Consider the following 22,787-nt stretch of genomic DNA (forward strand, 5'->3'; position numbering starts at 1 on the left):
AGACTACTAAAAAAGGAAAAAATGCTGCAACTCGATGCTTTCTCATTGGTTAGATTTTTTTTTTTTTTACTTTATACTTATTGAAAGTGTTCTTTCATACTTATTTAATCATTGTATATCATGGAATGTTACAAGTGCGGTAAGTTAGCTACCATATTCCTAACCTTCCCATTCAGGGTCCAATCTTACGCATCACTTTTCAATTCAAAGTCACCAATGTCCATGTTTCTCCACGTGGAGTTGAGACAGGATAGTTCCCTTGACCCACTTCGTGGGCCAGAACTGGAGTGGCTCATTTCACTCAGCCCGCCGCTGGCCACTCCTCACAGGAGGGAACCAGAGTGTGGAAACCACAGCAACCAGCCAGTGGCTCCTCTCTGGCGGGAACAGCCTCTGTGCAGGCCCTGCAGCAGCGTCCAAGCGTGTTACAACCAATGTTCTTTCAGCTCTGCCGTCCAGGGATGGCCAAGTACCAACCAACTCAGTGGAGGGTCAGGGTGACAGCCCCTGCCCTCTTGGCACCCGGGTTCTTGTCTGGCGTCCAGGAAGAATCAGGTCACACAAACTGTTTGAAAGGTGATGGATGTGGACGACTTTATTGAGCAGTGGGTGGCTCTCAGCGGAAAGGGAAGCTGGAAAGGGGATAGGAAAGTGATCTTTCCCTGAAGCCACACCATCTGAAGTCATCAGCATCTATCCATAGTCTCCGATGCTCAGTTGCTTTTATGCTCACCGCTCAGCCGCTTGTATCCTCAACGCTCAGCTGCTTGTATTGCTCTCAGAGCTTTTATGGGCACAGGATAGGGGTGGGGCAGGACAAATGGGCAACGTGTGGGTGGAAAACCGCGGTCAACTATTTTCACTTAGGGCCGGGGTTCTATGTTTAAGGGTGGAGTTTAGCTGGGAGCCCAGCCCTTCTGCATAGAATCATCATTAGTGACATCAAGAGTGGAGATGATGCTGCGTTTCTTCAAAGAGGGCTCCACTCCTGTCTCTGGGATTTTCTTCTGAGCTGTTGATACCCATTTTACATTTGTGGTGCTGGCTGTTCCTTTTTTATTTTTACTGATACATAATGGATGTACATATTTTCAGGGTACATGTGATAACTTGATATATTCATATAATGCGTAAAAATCAAATCAGGGGTAACTGGGATATCTATCACCTAAATATTTATCTTTTCTTTATGCTAGGAACTTCCAATTATTCTCTTATTCCTACCTTTTTTTTTTTTTTTTTTTTTTTTTGAGACAGGGTCTCACCTTTTTACCAAGGCTGGAGTTCAGTGGCTGGATCTCAGCTCACTGCAGCCTTGACCTCCTGGGCTCAAGTGATCCTCCCACCTCTAAGTAGCTTGGACTACAGGCACACGCCACCATGCCCGGCTCATTTGTTTCTTTTTTAAGTAGAGATGGGGTTTCGCCATGTTGGCCAGGCTGGTCTCCAACTCCTGATCTCAGATGATCTGCCCGCCTCAACCTCCTCCCAAAGTGCTGGGATTACAGGCGTGAGCCACCATGACTGGCCACTAGCTTTTTCTTGATCTTCCCAGAATGTGTCAACAAAAAGTTTCAGACAATAAACAAAACTTATTTCCTTTTCCAAATGGTCATCAAATATTTTGTTGATGGGCCTTCAGGGGCCTGCCTGCTGGCATCTGACCAGGTCTCCCAGCATAACTGCATCACCACATCAGTGAAGGGAAGGCGCAGCCTCTGGGGGCCGTGTCACTACCCCTGTCTGAATAGCAGCAATTGTAAGATGATAAGATGGATCCTGATTATAGAGATGCTAAAATGGGAAGAAGTGTATACCTCAGAATCTACAAAATACATTAGAATATTAGTTGGTCTTTATGGATAGATGCCCAGAGCTCCAACAGAGACACCTTAGCACTGAAACAAAGACTGCTTGAGAGGCCCGGGAAGGTTTTTCAGACAAAGATGTACTTTAGACAGACAAATAAATGGAAAGAGGTTTCCAGGCAGCAAGAATTTGTACAAAGCAGTATAAATATAGAATTTTAGGAAGAGAGAGAAGTCCAGTGCGCCTGGATCATGAGGTACATTGGGTAGAAATGTGGCAGGAACTGGGTTGGACTCCAGGGTCTGTAATTTCATATCTGTGTGACCTTGGATGGTTTATCACTCTCAGCCTTAGTTACCTGAACATCAAACAGAGAGGTCTTCAGCCTCAGAACTCCCAGGGCACCAAGCAGTACAATTTGAAAAACAGTTCTAAAGGCATGAGGATTAACAAAGGATCTCAAAACATGAAGTGCACATGGTCAGATATGTGTTTTAATAATAATGACAACAATAGGAACCACTGATGCAATACCTACTATTTGCTAAGCCCTTTGTAATTATTAATAGAAGCTACTGTGTATTATTTGCCAGACACGGTGATAAACATTTGCCTTCAGTATTTCATTTGGTCCCCACAACATCTCTCCGATGCTGCTTTTTATTATCTCCATCTCATAGAGAATGAAAGTGACACTCAACTCGATGATCAGACTTGCCCTAAGTTCCACTGACATCGGTGGCAGAACCAGGACCAGAACCTAGACTGCTGACATTGAGACCTGGTTGCCATGACTCCCTGAGTAACTGAAACTCCTGGAAAGTTGCAGAGGTTCCCTTGCACAGCATATTCTACAGACTTCCCTGGGAGAAGCCTTGTCTCTCCAAGCACAAAGAACGGCTGGAATCAAAATTCCATGTGCATCCTAATTTCTGTGCATAATATTTTAAATGACAAATCAGGCTGCAATCAGAAAGCCCCTAACCAAAATTCAAGCCATATGCAAACAAGCTGTGGTCAACATCCACACGGGAGGATCAGCTCAGGGAGCCAAGTCTCAGTGGGAGGGTCTCTAAACTGGGGGTCCCCCGGGAACGCAGCCTAAGGGACTAGAGGCAGGCGCCTGATTTCTCTGCCAACTGCCTGCAATTACAGCAATTCTCTCAGTGCTGCAGACTCCCAGGGAAGAGTCATCTGCCGTTTGCTTAAACTGATTAGGAATTACTTTCCCTGTGTCAGAGTCATCCCTGAATCTCAGCAGTATGCAGAGTTGCTGTCCAGGCTTCCAAATCAACACGGATCTTCAAGATTCCAGGATCATCTCAGCTGCCCTCAGTAGTCTGGGGATTTTTGTTTCTGCTCTTTTCCTGTCTTACCAGGTTTTGTGCCTAGCGTGCTACCTAAGTAACAGCAGTGTCCACTCCCTTCAGGCCTCACCTGGGGGAACTTCTGAAAATACAATTCAGAAGCTTCTCCCCACTCCCATTCAGGGGTCATGTGGTCCTTCCAGAGCTTGGGTGGGCCTGGACAGTGCTAGGAGGTGGCCACTCTGTGGCCAAGGACTGGCCTCCCATGAGATGGGCCATCCTGTCCCCTGAGCTGCCCCTGGCCAGAAGAGTATAATGGTTTCTCTATTGTGCCCAGCTCCTGGACACCAACAAGGTGCTCCTCAGCATCCTTCTCCTGGAAGTTTCTTGTCTTTATTGATGTATTTAGTCAGGTTTGGGGTTTTTTTGTTGTTTGTTTGTTTGTTTGTTTTGAGACAGAGTCTTCCTCTGTCACCCAGGCTGGAGTGCCGTGGCGCGATCTCGGCTCACTGCAACCTCTGTCTCCCAGGCTCAAGCAATTCTTGTGCCTCAGCCTCCTGAGTAGCTGGCTAATTTTTGTATTTTTAGTAGAGACAGGATTTCACTATGTTGGCCAGGCTGGTCTCAAACTCCTGGTCTCAAGTAGATCTGCCCACCTTGGTATCCCAAAGTGCTGGGATTACAGGCGTGAGCCACCACTCCCGGCCATATTAGTCAGTTTTTCGTCTCTTAACAAATAACCTCAAAATCTTTGTGGCTTACCGCAACACACATTTATTTTCAAAGTTATAGGTCAACAGGTTGACCTAGGTTTGGCTGGTCCAGATGAGTTCATGTGGACCAGAGTGGCCCCAGGTATTGGGCTAGGCTCAGGTCTCCTCCACACACACATTCATTCTGGGGCCCAGGCTGCAGGCGCTGTGGATTCCAGGAGCATGTCCTGTCCACAGCAGATCACAGGGGCACAAGAAGGCTAAGGAGACACAGTGATGCATCCTAGAGTCTCAGCACAGACTGGCAGCATCACTACTACCCACGTTCCACTGGCCGAAGCAAGTCATCTGACCCAGTTCGTTATCAGTATATACCAGCAGAGAAGTCTACACCACCCAGTGTGGTTGCAGGAACTGCAAAGTCACATGATAAAGAGCATGGATGTGTAATCCCAATATAGGAAGGCAGTAAAGAATCGGAGCAACAAGACAATGTAATGTGGGTTCTTAATGGGACATGGTTACTAACATCTGACACCGTATCAGCAGGATAACCCGATAACCTGAGATGAGGCAGTGAAGCTGGACCCTGTGGCTGTTACTGTGCAAACACATTGGGGGCTGCCTTGACAAAGGGGCGTGGGGCTGCAGTCCCTTCCAGAGAGCACCTGTGTGAACCTACTATGACCCTGAGACATCCCTGGAATCACTGACACAGCAGGAAACATGGAAAAAAGAAAACCACTTGGATATCTAGATTTACAGGACCAGGACAGCAGGGCTGTTCCCCCAGCATCTTGACTTGTCTTGGAGAACCAAGTCTTCTAAGAGGCAGGCTCAGCGCCCTCATCAGCCAGAGCCAGAACCGCATTGAGCTCAAAAAGGACTCCTGTGACTCGGGGTCCCAAGGGGCATGCCCACCCCACTGCAGGGATCTGCAGACTCCCGAGTCTTGGCTCAGAGACGTTCCACATCAGGGCTGGAAGAGTGTGTGCAGGGCATCTAGTCAGGTCCCCTTGTGTGCAGATAGGGAAACTGAGGCCCAAGAATGAAAGACACCACCGACAGTCAGCGGCAGGGCTCCTTGTCTCCTACATTCATGCTTCCTCCAATACCCCAGGGAACCTGATGGCCCCCAGGACCTCTCATTCTCTCCTCCCTTTCATTACCCATTCCCCTACTGACCTTGCTTCTGCCTTGACTTGGGCTCTTCAAGAATTCTGGTGGAAGCTGCAGCGCTGGCTGTTACATTTCTACTTGAGAGGAGCGGCATTTTCCCAGGGAGGATGAGTTGACAGCGGAACCAGGGGCAGGAGCTTGGCCAAGAAAGCCGCGGCCTTCACAAGGCTGGGCTGGGCGGATGGAGAAGCGGCTGGGTTTCAGCATCCAATTAGCACCCCCTGTTCTTAGAGCTGTTGGAGCCGGCTGCTGAGCAGCTGGAAGGGAGCAGGCCAGCCAGCTGGGCTGGTCAGTTGGTGAATGAGCACTAATTGGGTGTCAGGCACGCCAGGCCCCATGGCTCCCCTCCCCTCCCCACCAAACACTGGAAGACCACCACAGAGAGCTCAGGGGTGGAAAGCAGCTAATTGGCCTGGCCTGCCCAGCAAGCCCTTTCTCCACAGATGCCCTGTCACTCTGCTTTCTTTGTCTTTCATTTCAAGGGCTTGGGGAAAATTGCCCATGTGCTCTGAGAAGTTTGCTGTAAACCTCAGAACCGGAGGGGAGCTTGTTTTAAAAGAGGCTCTTAGCAGAGACATTTGGGCTCATTTCCCACAGTGGCCCCCATGCTCCTGGCTGTGGAGAACTGTGGGGACAAGCCTCCTGCACACTCCCTCACACTCCTGCTTGTCCATATTTTTAGACAAGAACAAGCTAAGGAAATGCTTTCTGTTGCCTTTTGCCTGCCAATTTCACTGTTCACTTAGGGAGAGAAAAAAAAAACTATTAATACTACTTAATTTTTTCCCGTACTTAACTAGAAGAAATCACACTTACCCTAGAGGAAGCAGGCATGAATTTGAACATGAGCATCGAAACAAACACAGATAACAGGACCCTGACTCTAAGTACCCCCAACACAAAATGTATTGAACTTAGGGAAGCAACGAAGGCTGGAATGTATTTAACAGGTGTGGCTGGGATGATATTTTGAGATACAAGTCTATCCAACCTGTATTTTTTCTCCCCTATATTTTCCCTTCTCACCCCACCATCCCCAAAGAGGAAGTCAGCATTCTGCTCATTGCCTCAGGGGAAAGACGCAGCAGGGCAAAAACCAGAAATAGCCTGGAAATCTCTCTGGCTTTTGTGTTCCAAAAGCCTGAGCCCTTGGGGGAAGGGGATTTCTCAGGCTTTGACTAGTGTCTTGGCCAGAAGCAGGGGGAGAGCTGAGCTTCACTCTCTGACCCCTTCTCAGAGGAGCAGATAGAAATTTCGCCAGCTAGGGGAGGGAGGAGAGAGAGACAGAAAGGCGTAGAGCAGACTTGTTCTCATCAGCACCTCTGGGAGGGTCACCCAGGCAGATGGAACTGTGAACAGTCCAACATGGCCCTGAGGCAGTAGAAAGCCACCAGGCCATATAGGAAGCCACAGAAGAGAGTGCTATGGGAACCCATGGCCAAGGCAAGAGGTTATTCCCCCACTCTCCCTCTCTCTGCCTAGGAGCCTCGAATTGCAACTCTTCCCTGGGTGCCTGGGTGGGTGGGTTCTCTAAGGAAGGTTAAGGTTTATTCCCCACCCCCCGCCACCCCACCACCAAACTCTATGAAATGAGGATTCAGAGCAAAATATTCAATTTAGTATTAGTACAAACTTTTAAGGCAATATGCCTTACACACATGGATGTGTAGACACCTCATCTCTGGCCTTAAGACATTTTTTATATCACCTTCACAGACAGGCCTTCCTTGACCACCCTGTCTAAAATAATCCTCTCTCTCCATTCAGTCCCTATCCTCTTCATAGCACTGATAATTTTCTGACATTACATTGTATATCTGAGTGTTTATTTAGTCATTGTCCATCCTCATGAGGGTAGGGATGTTGTCTGTTTTGTTCACTGTTTTACCTATACCTAGGAGAAGGCCTAGCACAGAGCAGTGTCAATATTTAGGTGTTGAATTAATGAACGCATTGTCTGCTCAATGGTGGCACCTGCTGGCAAATGGGATATTGCTGCTCAGCTCTACCAAACATTGTCACTGCTTCACCTAAAGGAGGATGGAGGACTTTTCTAAATATTGTAAGTGATAGGGTTTGGAAACTCCAGGCAAAGGGAAAATTTTTCTGGACCTAAGATACATACTAAAGAGGGCCCCTGGGGATTGTGGTAGAAGAGAGGTAAGAGTAGAGCATGGGTCTAGTGAAGAAAAAGGAAATATAAAATTAAGATTAGGCCTTTGACTCTCAGACCATAGCCATCAAGTATCACATTTTGTAGGGTGGTCACCCTGCTTCTGTTTCATTATCTTATTCTTCCTCTTTTATTCCAATTCACTTGCCTCAATTGTTTTTTTAATTTGAACACCAGGTGGGGAGAGAGGTGAGGTGAGGAGAGAGGTCGGTTGCAAGAGAAGTATAAGGCCCACTGCAGATGAGCTTGAGATCAGGCTAAGGAGATAGGACAGGATGAGTGTGTCTTGACCACCTCCAGCATCTACAGAGGAATTTGAGGCTTACAAAGTCCTTTTCCATATATTTCCTTATTAGATCTCCCTATGACCCATCCTGGCAGGCGGGGTAGTAATTCACAAGCCCCATTTTATAGATGAGGAAACTGGAGCTCAATGAAGAAAGTAATTCATCCAAAGTCCTCCATAAAGAATCCTCGCAGTATCAGGATCCATATCCAAATCTTTTCTTGCTTTACACATTCTGGTATTTAATATAGAGGTCTCAGCCATGGAAGAGCAAAAACTCTCACTGGAGAAACAAAGTATACAAGTAGGAAACAAACAGGAGACCAGAGCACCAGAATTCACAGGAATCTGAAAGCCCAGAGGCAGAGGATCTAACTCTACTCTCTGCAAAAGTTTTCACTACAGTTACCTTACCACAAATGATGACACTTTACTACTGGAATTTAGATAAAGTGGGAACTTTGACATTCTCTATTTGGGGTCAGAAAGTCAGATCCTCCCCATCACACCCTGTTCTTTGTAAGAGGAAACCACTGACTGCACCCCTGGGAATGTTTGCCCCAATTCACTATCAAACTGCTTGCAATTATCAAACCGTGCTCCCTTGAGTTGACCTTTAGCTGGGGAACAGCTATATTTAGAGAAAACCAGCCCTTTGTAATTACCCCCACTCAGATTACTTAAAGGTCAGCGGCAGATGTGACAGTATGATCCGTGGGAAGGGCTGTTTCCAGGATCCCTGGATAATTATTCAAACCAGACAATAATTAGCAAACATTTTCTGCAAATGAATCTATCCCTGTTTTTCAGCCCCAGAAGGGAGCCCAGAAGTCTCTCTGGGCCAAAGTTGCCCCTTGCTATGGTTTGAATGTGTCCCTCAAAAGTTTATGTGTTGGAAACTTAATTGCCATTGTTATAGCATTAAAAGATGGAGCCTTTAAGAGCTGATTAGGCCACAAGGGCTCCTCCACTCTCAGGAAGGGATTAATGCCATTGTCTGGTTATCTTCAGATTTGGTTTCTGGTGGAAAGGATGAGTTCAGCCTGATTCTTCTCTTGAGCTCACTTGCTTTCACCTTCTCACCTTCTGCCATGAGATGAGCCTTGCCAGATGCCAGCACCATGATCTTTGACTTCCCAACCTCCAGGACAGTCAGCCAAATAAAATCTTATAAATTACTCAGTCTGTGGCATCCTGTTACAGCAGCAAAAAACAGACTAAGATACCCACTCTAGATATAACAACAGCAATTCTTTCATGTATATGCCTTTACAGTTTACTAAGAACTTCATATCCCACCTTACTTCCCACATCAGTGTTGTGAGACACGCTTTCCTACTTCATATTCAATGTTCATACAATGTTCATACAATGAACATAGAATGTTCAATGTTAATGTTCATACATTACAATGTTCTCATTCCAGATAAGAACACTGAGGCTCTGAGAGGTTAAGTAGACTTGCCCAGAGTCACACTGTGGAACCAAGACTTAAACCCAGGTCTTCTGACTCCAAATCTCTTGCTTTTCCTAGGAAAATCACTCATTCTGCAAACATTTATTGAGTGCATACTATGTCCCTGACCTTGTAGTGGGCTGTGGAAAAAAAAGAAAGACCTCGACATTGTTCCAGGTGTTCAAAAACTCAGGATTAATAGGGGAGCGAAGAGGGGCAGGAGAGACACAAACCAGTGGAACACTAGAAGCAGCAGCACCTCTAGTGAGTGTTCATGAACTCCCCTGCTAGAATCTTGGGCATCAGAAGTTAGGAGTCAATTTATTTGAAGAGATTAAGGAGGTTTGTGGTGCAAGTTAGCCAGAAACAGTGGAGGGATTGGGAAGGGAAAAAAACATAAAAATGAAGTCAGCCAATAACCTCGAATAGCACATTTAAAAGTACCTAAGTAATGAAATGGTACATGTCACCTGATCCCAACGTGAAGAGGAATTGGGGCTATGAATGACATCTCCTCAAGAATAATTTTCTGAGGCCAGGCACGGTGGCTCACGCCTGTAATCCCAGCACTTTGGGAGGCCAAGGAGGGTGGATCACCTGAGGTCAGGAGTTCGAGACCAGCCTGACCAACTGGAGAAACCCCGTCTCTACTAAAAATACAAAATTAGCCGGGCGTGATGGTACATGCCTGTAATCCCAGCTACTCGGGGGGGCTGAGGCAGGAGAATCACTTGAACCCGGGAGGCAGAGGTTGCGGTGAGCCAAGATCATGTCATTGCACTCCAGCCTGGGCAACAAGAGTGAAACTCCATCTCAAAAAAAAAAAAATAATTTTCTTGGTTTGGGCAGGGATGGTCTTTAAGCCCCACTTTCCCTTCATCCAGAAACTCCATTTATATCTGATTTACATTTTCAGTTTCCATTAAATAAAGGAGTCTATAATTTTTAAAAATATAAGAACTACTGGTTTACTCATAGGTACGGTGGTTTAAGATATTTATAAAGTGACATGAATATTGATTGACTTCACAATGTCTTATTTAAAGTGCAAAAAAGGAAAGTAGTCATTGATAGTATCTTTAAAAGAAATTCATCTGAACTGGCCAATCATCAGATTCTAACAAGATAAAATAATGATTAAAAATAATAATGTTAATAATAATTAGCATGTATTTAGAAAGTACTATATGTTAGGGACTCCTCAAAGTACTTTAGAGGAATTAATTCATTTGATTGTCCCCATAACGCTGTGAGGCAGGTACAGAGCATTCACAAGAGGTGATTCACACGGGGTCATGCACTAAGGTTAAGCAGCACCAACTAACTGCACAAAGGAGGGCTGGATCTGCAGAGAAACTGTAGATAATAATGAAAGGAAAGGAGTTCTGATAGACCCCATGCATCATCTCAGTTGGCAGAGTGATAATGCCACCAAATAAGTAGGAATTGGGATGACTCTAACATCCAGTTGTGACTCCCTGGCTGTTTGAGCTTGAGAACGGTGGGCAGATAGGAGCAGATCAAGTGACTGCAAAGTCCCCTTCGAAGTCAGAGTTTCTGTAGTTTCCATTTAGAGATGGAGGGTCTTCTGAACAACCCAGGCTTTGAGCACACAGGACATACAAGGAGGGTTGGGGTTGCAACAGCTTCATCATAATCACCAATTGAACCTCCACTGGGAAGAAATGAATAGTTCATGCAAATGAGAGCTTGAGATTTGCTCATACTAGGCTTGAGAGAGAAACAGAAGGAGAAAATGGCAAAGTTTGAATAAACTCTTAGGATAAATTCCACCATAAAGATATTGTATAACTCTTTAGGGAAGATAGTTATCCAACATTTCAGAAGCACTCAGTTGTCTACAAACAGTATTTATGTTTCCATTTATTATATCAATCTTCATGATTCTATTCATTAGTGCAAATCCCTGCAGACCTGCCCTGGCTCCATGCCTTCAGTCAGCTTGTCTTTACTCAGCTGCCTCCTGGTGTCAGACACTACGCTGGGCTCTAGAGGATGCAGTGGTAAAATAAAAGCATGGAACACTCATTTTAGATTGGCACTGACCAATACCGTAACTACTAGCCAATGTGGCTATTTAAATTCAGATTTTAATTAGTTAAAAGCAAGTAAAATTGGCCAGGTGCAGTGGCTCACATCTGTAATCCCAGCACTTTGGGAGGCCGAGGCGGGTGGATCACCTGAGGTCGAGAGTTCAAGACCAGCCTGACCAATGTGGAGAAACCCCGTCTCTACTAAAAGTACAAAATTAGCCGGGCGTGGTGGTACGTGCCTGTAATCCCAGCTACTCAGGAGGCTGAGGCAGGAGAATCACTTGAACCTGGGAGGCGGAGGTTGCGGTGAGCTGAAATCGCACCATTGCACTCCAGCCTGGGCAACAAGAGTGAAACTCCATCTCAAAAAAAAAAAAAAAGGAAATAAAATTTAAAATTCAGTTCCTGGGCCGGGCATAATGGCTCACGCCTATAATCTCAGCACTTTGGGAGGCCAAGGCAGTCAGATCACTTGAGCTCAGGAGTTGGAGACCAGTCGGGACAACAAGACGAAACCCTGTCTCTACCAAAACTATAAAAAATTAGCCGGGCGTGGTGGCACATGCCTGTTATCCCAGCTACCTGGGGGGCTGAGGCAGGAGAATCGCTTGAGCCTGGGAGGTCAAGGTTGCAGTGAGCTGAGATCGTGCCACTACACTACAGCCTGGGTGACAAAGTGAGACCTTGCCTCAAAAAAAAAAAAAAAATTCAGTTCCTTTCTCACACAAGCCACATTTCAACATTTCAAGTGCTCAATATGTGGACAGCAGTGTATCCTGCAAAAGACAGTGCAGATATAGAACATTTCTCTAATGTTCTTGCCCAGAGTTTCTAATGTTAATAATAATTAACATAATTAATAACACAACATTAACATAAATAATAACATAATAATTAACATCTAACAGAAGGTTCTGTTAGAAGGTGCTGCTAGATGAAGCAATGCCTGCACTGGGTGGAGGTAAGCCTGCTTTAGTTACTAGCTATTCTGTACAGTAATGGTTGCCTATCTTTTGAAATATTTGATAATTCCAGATTTTTAGCCAATTCATACTGGCTCAGCTCAGGTTAGTCTGAATATGTGCAGTAGAATAGTTCTTAGATTCATTTGGATACCATGAGCTTGGTTGAAAAGGAGGTTTTTGGTGGGGGGTGCATAATGTATGGACACAATCAGGTGACAACGTGCAGTACATCTGCTCACTGGAGCCCATATTGCAGTGCAGGTATGCATGAGCTCACGTATACTCACACACACCTGCACACACACACACACACATGCATTCACGCCTGAAAATATCTGCTCACTTAGTTGCACACATATAGACAATTAAACATGCACATACACATTCATTAACACACTCAGACACATACGCCTTTACACATATGTGATATGAGATATGCAATCACATCCAGCTCTTACAGATCACACACACACACACACACACACACAGGTTTACACCAATGCATCAATGCATTCTGCATTGCTGCTGGGTTGTCACACATGATTGAGTTGGCTACAGTTAAGTTCTGTGGCTTTTTGCTATCCTGATATAATACAGAAACAGATGGGCCAATCTTTCTTGCATTTTCCAGATTCAAGATAAATGCTTGGGAGCTCCACGATAACCCTGTCCTTGGGATCCATCCATTCATTCAGTGTTCAGCAAACATTGATTGAGGGCCTAGAAATCGACAAAATCACAGAGGAGTTTTGGTAACTAAACCACAAAAACTCCATGATGAGTATCAGACTCAGAAAGGGAAGAGTGTCATCCTACAGAACAGAGAAGCCAGCAGTCCCTTGCCTGGGACCAAAATTACAAGCAGTGACCCCATCACCACCCCCCTCTAGGTGTCCCTGCCAAGGATATGGGGCTGTAGTTGAATCTGGGAGGAGAGAAGGGGATTACATGTCTAGGTTAGGCCAGATGATGTGGATTAGAGAAGTTCAGAGGTAGAAAAGTCCACCAGCCTCTCCTAACTTCCTCCCTTATCTCACCTGCATCTCTGATCTCTCATGCTCAGCTCTTGCCATCGGCAGATCATACTCAAGTCTCCCCATTTTAAAAAATACCTCACTTGATTCTATAACTCCCCTTCCTAACTTACAGCTACTGTCTATATCCTCTTAGTCACAGCAAAACTCTTCCAAAGAATTGTCTACACTTACTGCCTTTACTTCCTCAACCCAATGGATTCTTGAATCCACCACAATATGACTTCTGACCCCTCCTCAACTCCATGAAACCACTCTCCCGGAGTCACCGGTGGTCCCCGCCCTGCCAAGTCTGATAGACACCTTTCATCCCCTATCTTAGCAGACGACTGTGCTACGCTTCACATCAGTCAGTCCCTTCTGATTCTCAAATTCTGCTATATGCCAAGCACCACGGGGGATATTATTATGTGTGAGCCTCAGGTGCTGCTGTCAGGAAACTCACGGTTTCACTCACTTCACTGGTAAGACCCTCTGTTACGTCATCTGGCAAGAAGGGGTCCAGCAAGCCCTCTACATTGCAGCTGAACCCCAAAGTTTACCCTTGCCTCCCTGGGGCATTGAGTCAAGGGCAGTGGAAGAAATAACTGATAGATCTGGGGAGGGTAGTTAGGATGACCTAGAGTCTGATAGGTCCTTGTTCTGGATTGAATTATATTGAAAAGATAGGCTGAAGTCCTAGGATACCGGTACTTCAAAACATGGCCTCTATTTGCAAAGAAGATGGTTGTAGATGTAATTCGTTAAGATGAGATCGTACCGGAGCAGAATGGGCCCTTAATCCACTATGACTGTGTCCATATAAGATTGAAGACACAGGAGAGGATACAAGTGATGATGCAGACAAAGATTGAAGTTATGCAGCTGCAAGCCAAGTATTGCCGGCAGCACTGGCAGTTAAGAGAAAGGTGTAGAACAGATCCTTTCCTAGAGCCTTGGGTGAGCATGGCCCTTCCAGTGCCTGAGTTTTGTACTTCTAGCCTCCCAAACCATGTGACAACGAATGGCTGTTGTTTGAAACCACCCAGTTTGTGGCGCTTTGTTATGGTAGCCCTAGGAAACTGAGACAGTCCTGCTGTCCATTTTTTGGAAACTGAGCTAATTCCAGTGAGGATCCACCTGGGGCAATCTTCACCGGGATTTGCCTGAGGCCCTCAGCCCCTGAGCCAATATTTTGAGGCAGCAGAACACGGAAATGCATGAGTGGCAGAATTGGTGAGACCCGAATTCAAGGCCTGGCTCCGAGGTGACTCTGAGCACCTTAGCTACTTAACCCTCTGAAACCCAGTCTCCTCACCTATACAGCAGGATTCTCATGGGAAATTAACAGATTGCTATGTGTAATCTCATCTGCCTTTGACTAGAAAATAAGGTCACATTAACTTCTAATGACTGAGTTATGGTGGCTCCAAGTGTTACCAGCTCCACTTACAGAAATGAGTCTCCCCAAAGAGTCCCCCCATTTTTTTCTAGGAGTTGCCAAAAGGAACTTCACATATTTCCACAAAACCAGACAGCTTCTCCCATCGTTTGCCACCAGCCCGTTCTTCCTCTCCCACCTCAGTTCCTTCTTGTCTGTGTCCCTACCCCCCCCCCCACCCACCATGAAGCCAGCTGGGGAAGAGCAGGAAAGGCAGCCGGCAGCTGCCTCCAGCCAACAGCTCCCTCAGGGTCAGCCTTGGAAACCTCACTCTCAGTCACCCTTCCTTGGGCAGCCTGCATGAAGTGACTGAGCCAGGTGGGGACACCAAGGCCTGACCATTTCCACCAGATACAGACACTGATGAACGAGTTGCTCCGAAGCTCCCCATGCAGTGGGCCGAGGCTGTGCTGGGCTTGCCTCATGGTTCAGCCTCTTCCTCCAGCCAGTCCCGCTTATGCGCCCTGCCCTCTGGAGGTGTGGATCCCTAGCAACACCTTGTGCCCCAAACTCCTCAGCCTCTGCTTCTGGAGAATGCACCCTACACCGACCCTCATAAGGTGGCCTTTGTCTATTTCAACAAGGCAGTTCTGGAGATTTGCAAAGCCACCAACCTTCATGTTCCAGGCAGAGGTGGGGAGAGATCCTCCTCCAAAGCAGCTGTGCCATGCCTTGAGCCTCACAAATTCTCCCTGGATTCCTGTCCATTTCTGTCCAGGATTTTTTTTGTCTAGATTCTTACCAGGTGTCCCATGAAAAAGAGTTTGTGGCCTTGTCTCCTGACCATAACAACCAAACCCAGGCCATGTAGTGGGGCAGATGGGAAGCAATGCATATCATCCCCTCCAGCTTCCTCCCCTAGAACAGCCCTTGCTTCCTTTGCTATAAAACAAAAGCTGCCATGCAAATCAATGGTTATGAAGCAGACCCGGAGTGGGAGGGAGGTGGGTGGAGAGGAACTGGGGGAGGAACAGGAGTAGGCCCTATTCCACATGTAAAACACCTAGCCCAGTGCCTGGTCCACAGCGAGTGTCCAATAAATGATAGCTATTATCGTCATTATTATTATTATGAACCATGAAGCTATCATCAGTAGTTGGTCTGCTGGCAGCGGGAGTCAGTGCGGGCTGGGCTGCTCCCTGCTCCAGATCACTAACCCGGGCTAAGTGGTGGTAATTATGACTTTGAGGAATACTGGTAACAGTGCCAAGTTCCAGAATAGCTACAGCCGTGAGCAGAGAGGCCTCTGGCTCAGCTCCGGGCTTCAGGCTGAGTAAGAATTAGTGCAATTGGCCATGCTGCAAGGTGAGAACAGTACAGGGACATCACAGGCAGATTGTCCCTCCTGGTACTTATGAGCAGAGAGCCCCTTATGGACACACAGTGGGGAAGGAGCTGAGTGCCCACATGCAGAAGGACAACAAGGTTCCAAGTCTGTCACGGCGGCCCCAGTCCCCAGCAGCCTGAGCCCCACGGAAGCCCTTCTGTGGCTCATTAAAGACTTCCACGTGGGCCTTGCTCCATAGGAAACCACAGATCTTTCTGCAGCCTGGTCAGACCCTGGTCTGGGGCTGCATTCTACTGGCAATTACTTTGCCAGGAAAGCACCACTGCCTGACAGGGATTCTTGGGAGTCGCTCAGGCCTGCCTATACAGGGTTACGAGGAGCTCAGCAGCAGGTGAGACTTGGCGCCTAAGGAATTGGTGCCTTCCTTTTTAGAAAAACTGATCCCCCTACAGGCCCCCAAATTTGCTCCTGTCTTATCCTTAATAGCCAATGGAAAAGTTGGCAGGTCCAGTGCAAGTCTCAGCCTATCAAGAGTTCTTGTTATTCCTGCAATTCCCTATGCCTCCTTTCATCCCTGCAGCTGAAAGTCACAGGTGCCACAGGACAGGACAAAGAAGAGCAGGGGTCCAGGCCATCTGGCACCCGACCTCTATCCCCCCATCTATTCATCACTCATCAGCTCCCTCCAACTGGACAGTGAAGGTGTGGCTCTTTCCCCAGATTCCTCCTAGTCAGGGGGTCTGAACTGCTGCAGAATGCTTTTACTCAGAGTGTGAAGTGAGGGTCCATTTCCTTGTGATAAAACAATAGGGCCTTTTGTGCCAGCCTCCAAATCCACTCCCTGGGGATCCAAGCACACTGAACCCTAGTGCACTTCTGGCCTCCAAGCTTTTGGCACACGCTGCTCCTTCTTCCTGGAAGGCCCTTCTCCCCAGTCCACCTGTGAACTCCCAGCCATTGGTTAAAGACCATCTCAAGTGTCAATCCCTCTTTACAACTTTTCCTGACTTCTCTCCCCCATCCTATCCCACCCCTGCTACCTGCTGACTTAATCATCACTCTCTCCCTGGGGATTTAATCACCTCTGCCCTTGAGCTTCCTCCTAACTTTGCAATGCACTCTCTCTCCACTCTGACCTGCTCCACAGTGGGGACCATGACCGTTTCATCTCTGTACCCCCACCAGTTGGCAATTGGAAGGCATTGCTCAGCATTCATTGCAATGATGGTAAATAAACAAAGATAGAAGGAAAGGAGAGATGAAGGTGGGGGAAGAAAGGACTCAGAAGAAACTGGAAAAAAGAGAAAGAGGGAGGAGAGAAGGAGGAAAGAAGGGAAGGAAAGAGGAAGAAAGAGATGGGGAGAGAGCTAGAGAGGGAGAAACGGGGAAAGGAGTGGACCTCATGAACCGGCTTTTTTGCATCTTCCATGGGAATCTATTTGTGCCAGGTGTTGCTCCTGAAAACCTAAGAATCCCTGCCTGGGGAGACACCCAGGAGGCAGTACAGGTCACAAGTGGGAGCACCGTACCATAAAGCATGCACCTAGAGAAGGCGCTGTTGTATCAAGGGGCCCCTAAGCCAACCCTGATGCACCCACGTGCCAGGCTCCAGCAAAACCCCTGGGTTTGAGCTCCACTTAGTCTCTGTGCTCTACTCGATATTCCAGTCTTCTCTCCTTCAGCCCTGACCCTGACCCTTGAACAAGCACTCCTCTGGCCTTCAAAAGCATCCTGCCTTTCTTTAATCTTCTAACTTGCATTAAAACCCCATGGAACATTCTCTTAGTTCTGGCTCCCTCCCTGATTCCCCAGTCACGCTGATCTTAGGATATAAAAATTGTAAATGTGGCTGTAATGTAAACGATTTCAAACTGATTGCTAAGTCACTGTTTCCTATACTGTCTACATGCACTAAAGTGAGACTCATGACTTATTTTCAGACAATGGAAGTAAGAAATTGTGACCTAAGCCTGGACCCTCATTATAAAATGTGAGCTAGATGGAAAAATCAAGTGCTTTTTCTATTTACTCATAAGTTTCTAGAGTCATGTTTCTCCAATGTGCCAGGTCATCAGAGCTAAAGGAATTACGGTATGTGTACAGGTCTTGTCCCTTGGTTCACAGTTCTGGTCCACTAGTTGGATGCTGGGAGCAGCCCCACATCACAGACCCCACACACTTTGAAAATCTGCAGGCTTTTTCACAGTCAGCATCTTGAGCCTGAGTATACACCCAGCAGGACCTCCCGGAGATGGATCCTGTTCCCCTGTCCTGCACATAGGCCACCAGGGGCATAGCAAACTCCTATGGCATCAATGAATGAATGAAGAAATAAATGGAGGAGTGAATGAATGAATGAATGAATGTGTGTGAACAAGTAAGTAAATGAATGAGTTACTGAATAAATAATGAGTGAATCAGGGACTGGGGAAGACATACTGAGCACCAGAACACAGTGCAGTTGTCCAGGGGGCGTGATTACAAGACCAGCCTTTGGAAAGCTGCACTCACTGTCTTTGTAAGCCCTTTGTTTTTCCTTTACAAGTAGGATCTGCCCTTTGGAAAGACATTTAAAGTTTAGAATGAGAGACAAGCACATTGTCCCTTTCTCTTGAATGTAAACCAGTCAAGACTTTATTATCATTTTCTTTGTTTATTTTGGAGATGGAGTCTCACTCTGTCACCCAGGCTGGAGTGCCGTGGCGTAATCTCGGCTCACTGCAACCTCCACCTCCTGAGTTCAAGCGATTCTCCCGCCTCTCAGCCTCCCGAGTAGCTGGGACTGCCGGCGTGCACCACCACGCCCGGCTAATTTTTGTATTTTTAGTAGAGACAGGGTTTCACCATATTGGCCAGGCTGATCTTGAACTCCTGACCTCAAGAGATCCATCACCTCGGCCTCCCAAAGTACTGAGATTACAGGCATGAGCCACCGTGCCTGGCCAGATCATTTTCTATTTTAAACCTTCAAGAACAACTTCATATTTGAAGACCAGGACGGTTTGCAGCCAAGGTATCCAGTGAAGACTTGGGGTCCTGAGGAGGTAGTGAGCTCCCCATTAACATGGTCTATAAGCAGGCATTGGGTATGTTGAAGATGACCCACTCCTCTGATAGGCATGGTCCCTTTCTTTTTTTGAGACAGAGTTTTGCTCTGTTGCCCAGGCTGGAGTGCAGTGGCGCCATCTCGGCTCACTGCAACCTCTGCCTCCCGGGTTCAAGTGATTCAAGTGATTCTCCTCCTGAGTAGCTGGGATTACAGGCACCAGCCACCACGCTGGGCTAATTTTTATAGAGACAGAGTTTCACTATATTGGCCAGGCTTGTCTTGAACTCCTGATCTCAGGTGATCCACCCGCCTCAGCCTCCCAAAGTGCTGGGATTACAGGTGTGAGGCACCACATTGGCCATGGTCCCTTTCACATCTGAGTTTCTAAGTGCTCCATGTAAGAGGAAAATCATTACCCAGGTCCTTTCCTCTAGCTTTTCCCTTTGGGTGACACTCAGTACCTGGCTTTGTTTTATTTTGTTGTTGCTTTGTTTTGTTTTTTTGTTTGTTTCTTTCTTTGTTTGTTTTAGGGAAAAAGGCATTCAATAAATGGTGGCTATATGCCATTCATCTGTAAAATGACAGGCTGGATCCCTAAATCCATGAATTCCATACCACCTCCTCATGGTACTTATCATAGTTGCAGTTTTACATTTACATGTGAGAATGCTTGATTAAAGTCTGGTTGGTTAACAGCATGAATTAAATTCATCTCTATCTCTTCTATACTGTCTACTTCTATACTGTGTGACCTTGGGCAACTTACTTAACTTCTCTGTGCCTCAATTTCCTCACCTGTAAAAAGGATAATAGTAGCTACCTTATGGGATTGTTGTGAGTGTTAATTGAAATAATTCAACAAATGCAGTTTGAACAGTGTGTGGCACATAGAGGTAACAAAGGCTTTCATTATTTTAATAGTTTATTTTTTAGGAAAAACTATAGAGTCACAATAATTTTTCCTCGGAATTTGGTAAATATTTTCCACTATGTTTGAGCACAATTTGAAGATAAATCGGACAATAGTCCAATCCTCTTTTCTTGTTGGTTTTTCTGACTCTTCCTTTTAGGATAGTCTTCCAAGTTCTAAGCTTCCTTTAATGTTTTCTCCCAACCCTTGGTGAATATTTTTATTTGAAGATGTATAGTTTTTCAACTCAAGGACAGGACATTTTCTTTTAGTGTTTCTTTTATTATAATTTCACCTCGATAAAGTCCCCTCCTTCTGGGACTTCCTTTATATGGAGGTAGCCTCTCTGGATCTGGCCCTCATGCTATTTTGCTTACATTTCCCTGATCTCTCTAAAATTCTTTTCTTTTCCCTCAGCATTTTTGTTGCACCTCCTCATACCTTCTTCTGAGTTTTGGGAGAATTTCTCAAGTAAGTTTACTGATTATTCAGGTTGGTTTTTGAAGTATCCATTCTGCTATATATGGCCTCTATGGGGTGCTTTAATTTGAAAATCATGCCTTTCCTTTCTAAGACTTCTTTATTGTTTTCAGATTGATCTTTTTTGTTTTAATACTTTAAGTTCTATGGTACATGTGCACAATGTGCAGGTTTGATACATAGGTATACATGTGCCAAATTGGTTTGCTGCACCTATCAACTCATCATTTACATTAGGTATTTCTCCTAATGCTATCCCTCCCCCAGCCCCCCACCCCAACAGGCCCCAGTGTGTGATGGTCCCCGCCCTATGTCCAAGTGATCTCATTGTTCAGTTCCCACCTGTGAGTGAGAACATGCAGTGTTTGGTTTTCTGTCCTTGTGATAGTTTGCTGACAATGATGGTTTCCAGCTTCATCCATGTCCCTGCAAAGGACATGAACTCATCCTTTTTTATGGCTGCATAGTATTCCATAGTATATATGTGCCACATTTTCTTAATCCAGTCTATCATTGATGGACATTTGGATTGTTTCCAAGTCTTTGCTATTGTGAATAGTGCCACAATAAACATACATGTGCATGTGTCTTTATAGTAGCATGATTTATAATCCTGTGGGTATATACCCAGTAATGGGATTGCTGGGTCAAATGGTAATTCTAGTTCTAGATCCTTGAGGTATCACTACACTGTCTTCCACGATGGTTGAACCAATTTACACTTCCACCAACAGTGTAAAAGCTTTCCTATTTCTCCACATCCTCTCCAGCATCTGTTGTTTCCTGACTTTTTAATGATTGCCATTCTAACTGGCATGAGATGGATCTCATTGTGGTTTTGATTTGCATTTCTCTGATGACCAACGATGATGAGCATTTTTTCATGTCTGTTGGCTGCATAGATGTCTTCTTTTGAGAAATGTCTGTTCATATCCTTTGCCCACTTTTTGACGGGGTTGTTTGTTTTTTTCTTGTAAATTTGTTTGAGTTCTTTGTAGATTCTGGATTTAGCCCTTTGTCAGATGGGTAGATTGCAAAAATTTTCTCCCATTATGTAGGTTGCCTATTCACTCTGATGGTAGTTTCTTTTGCCATGCAGAACCTCTTTAGTTTAATTAAATCCCATTTGTCTATTTTGGCTTTTGTTGCTATTGCTTTTGGTGTTTTAGTCATGAAGTCCTTGCCCATGCCTATGTCCTGAATGGTATTGCCTAGGTTTTCTTCTAGGGATTTTATGGTTTTAGGTCTAACACTTAAGTCTTTAATCCATCTTGAATTAATTTTTATATAAGGTGTAAGGAAGGGATCGAGTTTCAGCTTTCTACATGTGGCTAGCCAGTTTTCCCAGAACCATTTATTAAATAGGGAATCCTTTCCCCGTTGCTTGTTTTTGTCAGGTTTGTCAAAGATCAGGTTGTAAATGCGTGGCATTATTTCTGAGACCTCTGCTCTGTTTCATTGGTCTATATATCTGTTTTGGTACCAGTACCATGCTGTTTTGGTTACTATAGCCTTGTAGTATAGTTTGAAGTCAGGTAGTATGATGCCTCCAGCTTTGTTCTTTTTGCTTAGGATTGTCTTGACAATGCGGGCTCTTTTTTGGTTCCATCTGAACTTTAAAGTAGTTTTTTCCAATTCTGGGAAGAAAGTCATTGGTAGCTTGATGGGGATGGCATTGAATCTATAAATTATCTTGGGCAGTACGGCCATTTTCATGGTATTGATTCTTCCTATCCATGAGCATGGAATGTTCTTCCATTTGTTTGTGTCCTCTTCTATTTTGTTGAACAGTGGTTTGTAGTTCTCCTTGAAGAGGTCCTTCACATCCCTTGTAAGTTGGATTCCTAGGTATTTTATTCTCTTTGTAGCAATTGTGAATGGGAGTTCACTCATGATTTGGCTCTCTGTTTGTCTATTAATGGTATATAGGAATGCTTGTGATTTTTGCACATTGATTTTGTATGCTGAGACTATGCTGAAGTTACTTATCAGCTTAAGGAGATTTTGGGCTGAGATGATGGGGTTTTCTAAATAAACAATCATATCATCTGCAAACAGGGACAATTTGACTTCCCTATTTCCTAATTGAATACTCTTTATTTCTTTCTTTTGCCTGATTGCCCTGGCCAGAACTTCCAACACCATGTTGAATAGGAGTGGTGAGAGAGGGCATACTTGTCTTGTGCCAGTTTTCAAGGGGAATGCTTCCAGTTTTTGCCCATTCAGTATGATATTGGCTGTGGGTTTGTCATAAATAGCTCTTATTATTTTGAGATATGTTCTATCAATACCTAGGTTATTGAGAGTTTTTAGCATGAAGGGCTGTTGAATTTTGTCAAAGACTTTTTCTGCATCTATTGAGATAATCATGTGGTTTTTGTCATTGGTTCTGTTTATGTGATGGATTGTGTTTATTGCTTTGCATATGTTGAACCAGCCTTGCATCCCAGGGATGAAGCCCACTTGATCATAGTGGATAAGCTTTTTGATGTGCTGCTGGATTTGGTTTTCCAGTATTTTATTGAGGATTTTTGCATTGATGTTCATCAGGGATATTGGTCTAAAATTCTCTTTTTTTGTTGTGTCTCTGCCAGGCTTTAGTATCAGGATGATGTTGGCCTCATAAAATGAGTTAGGGAGGATTCCCTCTTTTTCTATTGATTG

The sequence above is a fragment of the Homo sapiens genome, chromosome 1, assembly GCF_000001405.40.
Source record: "Homo sapiens chromosome 1, GRCh38.p14 Primary Assembly".
Taxonomy (NCBI): Eukaryota; Metazoa; Chordata; class Mammalia; order Primates; family Hominidae; genus Homo; species Homo sapiens.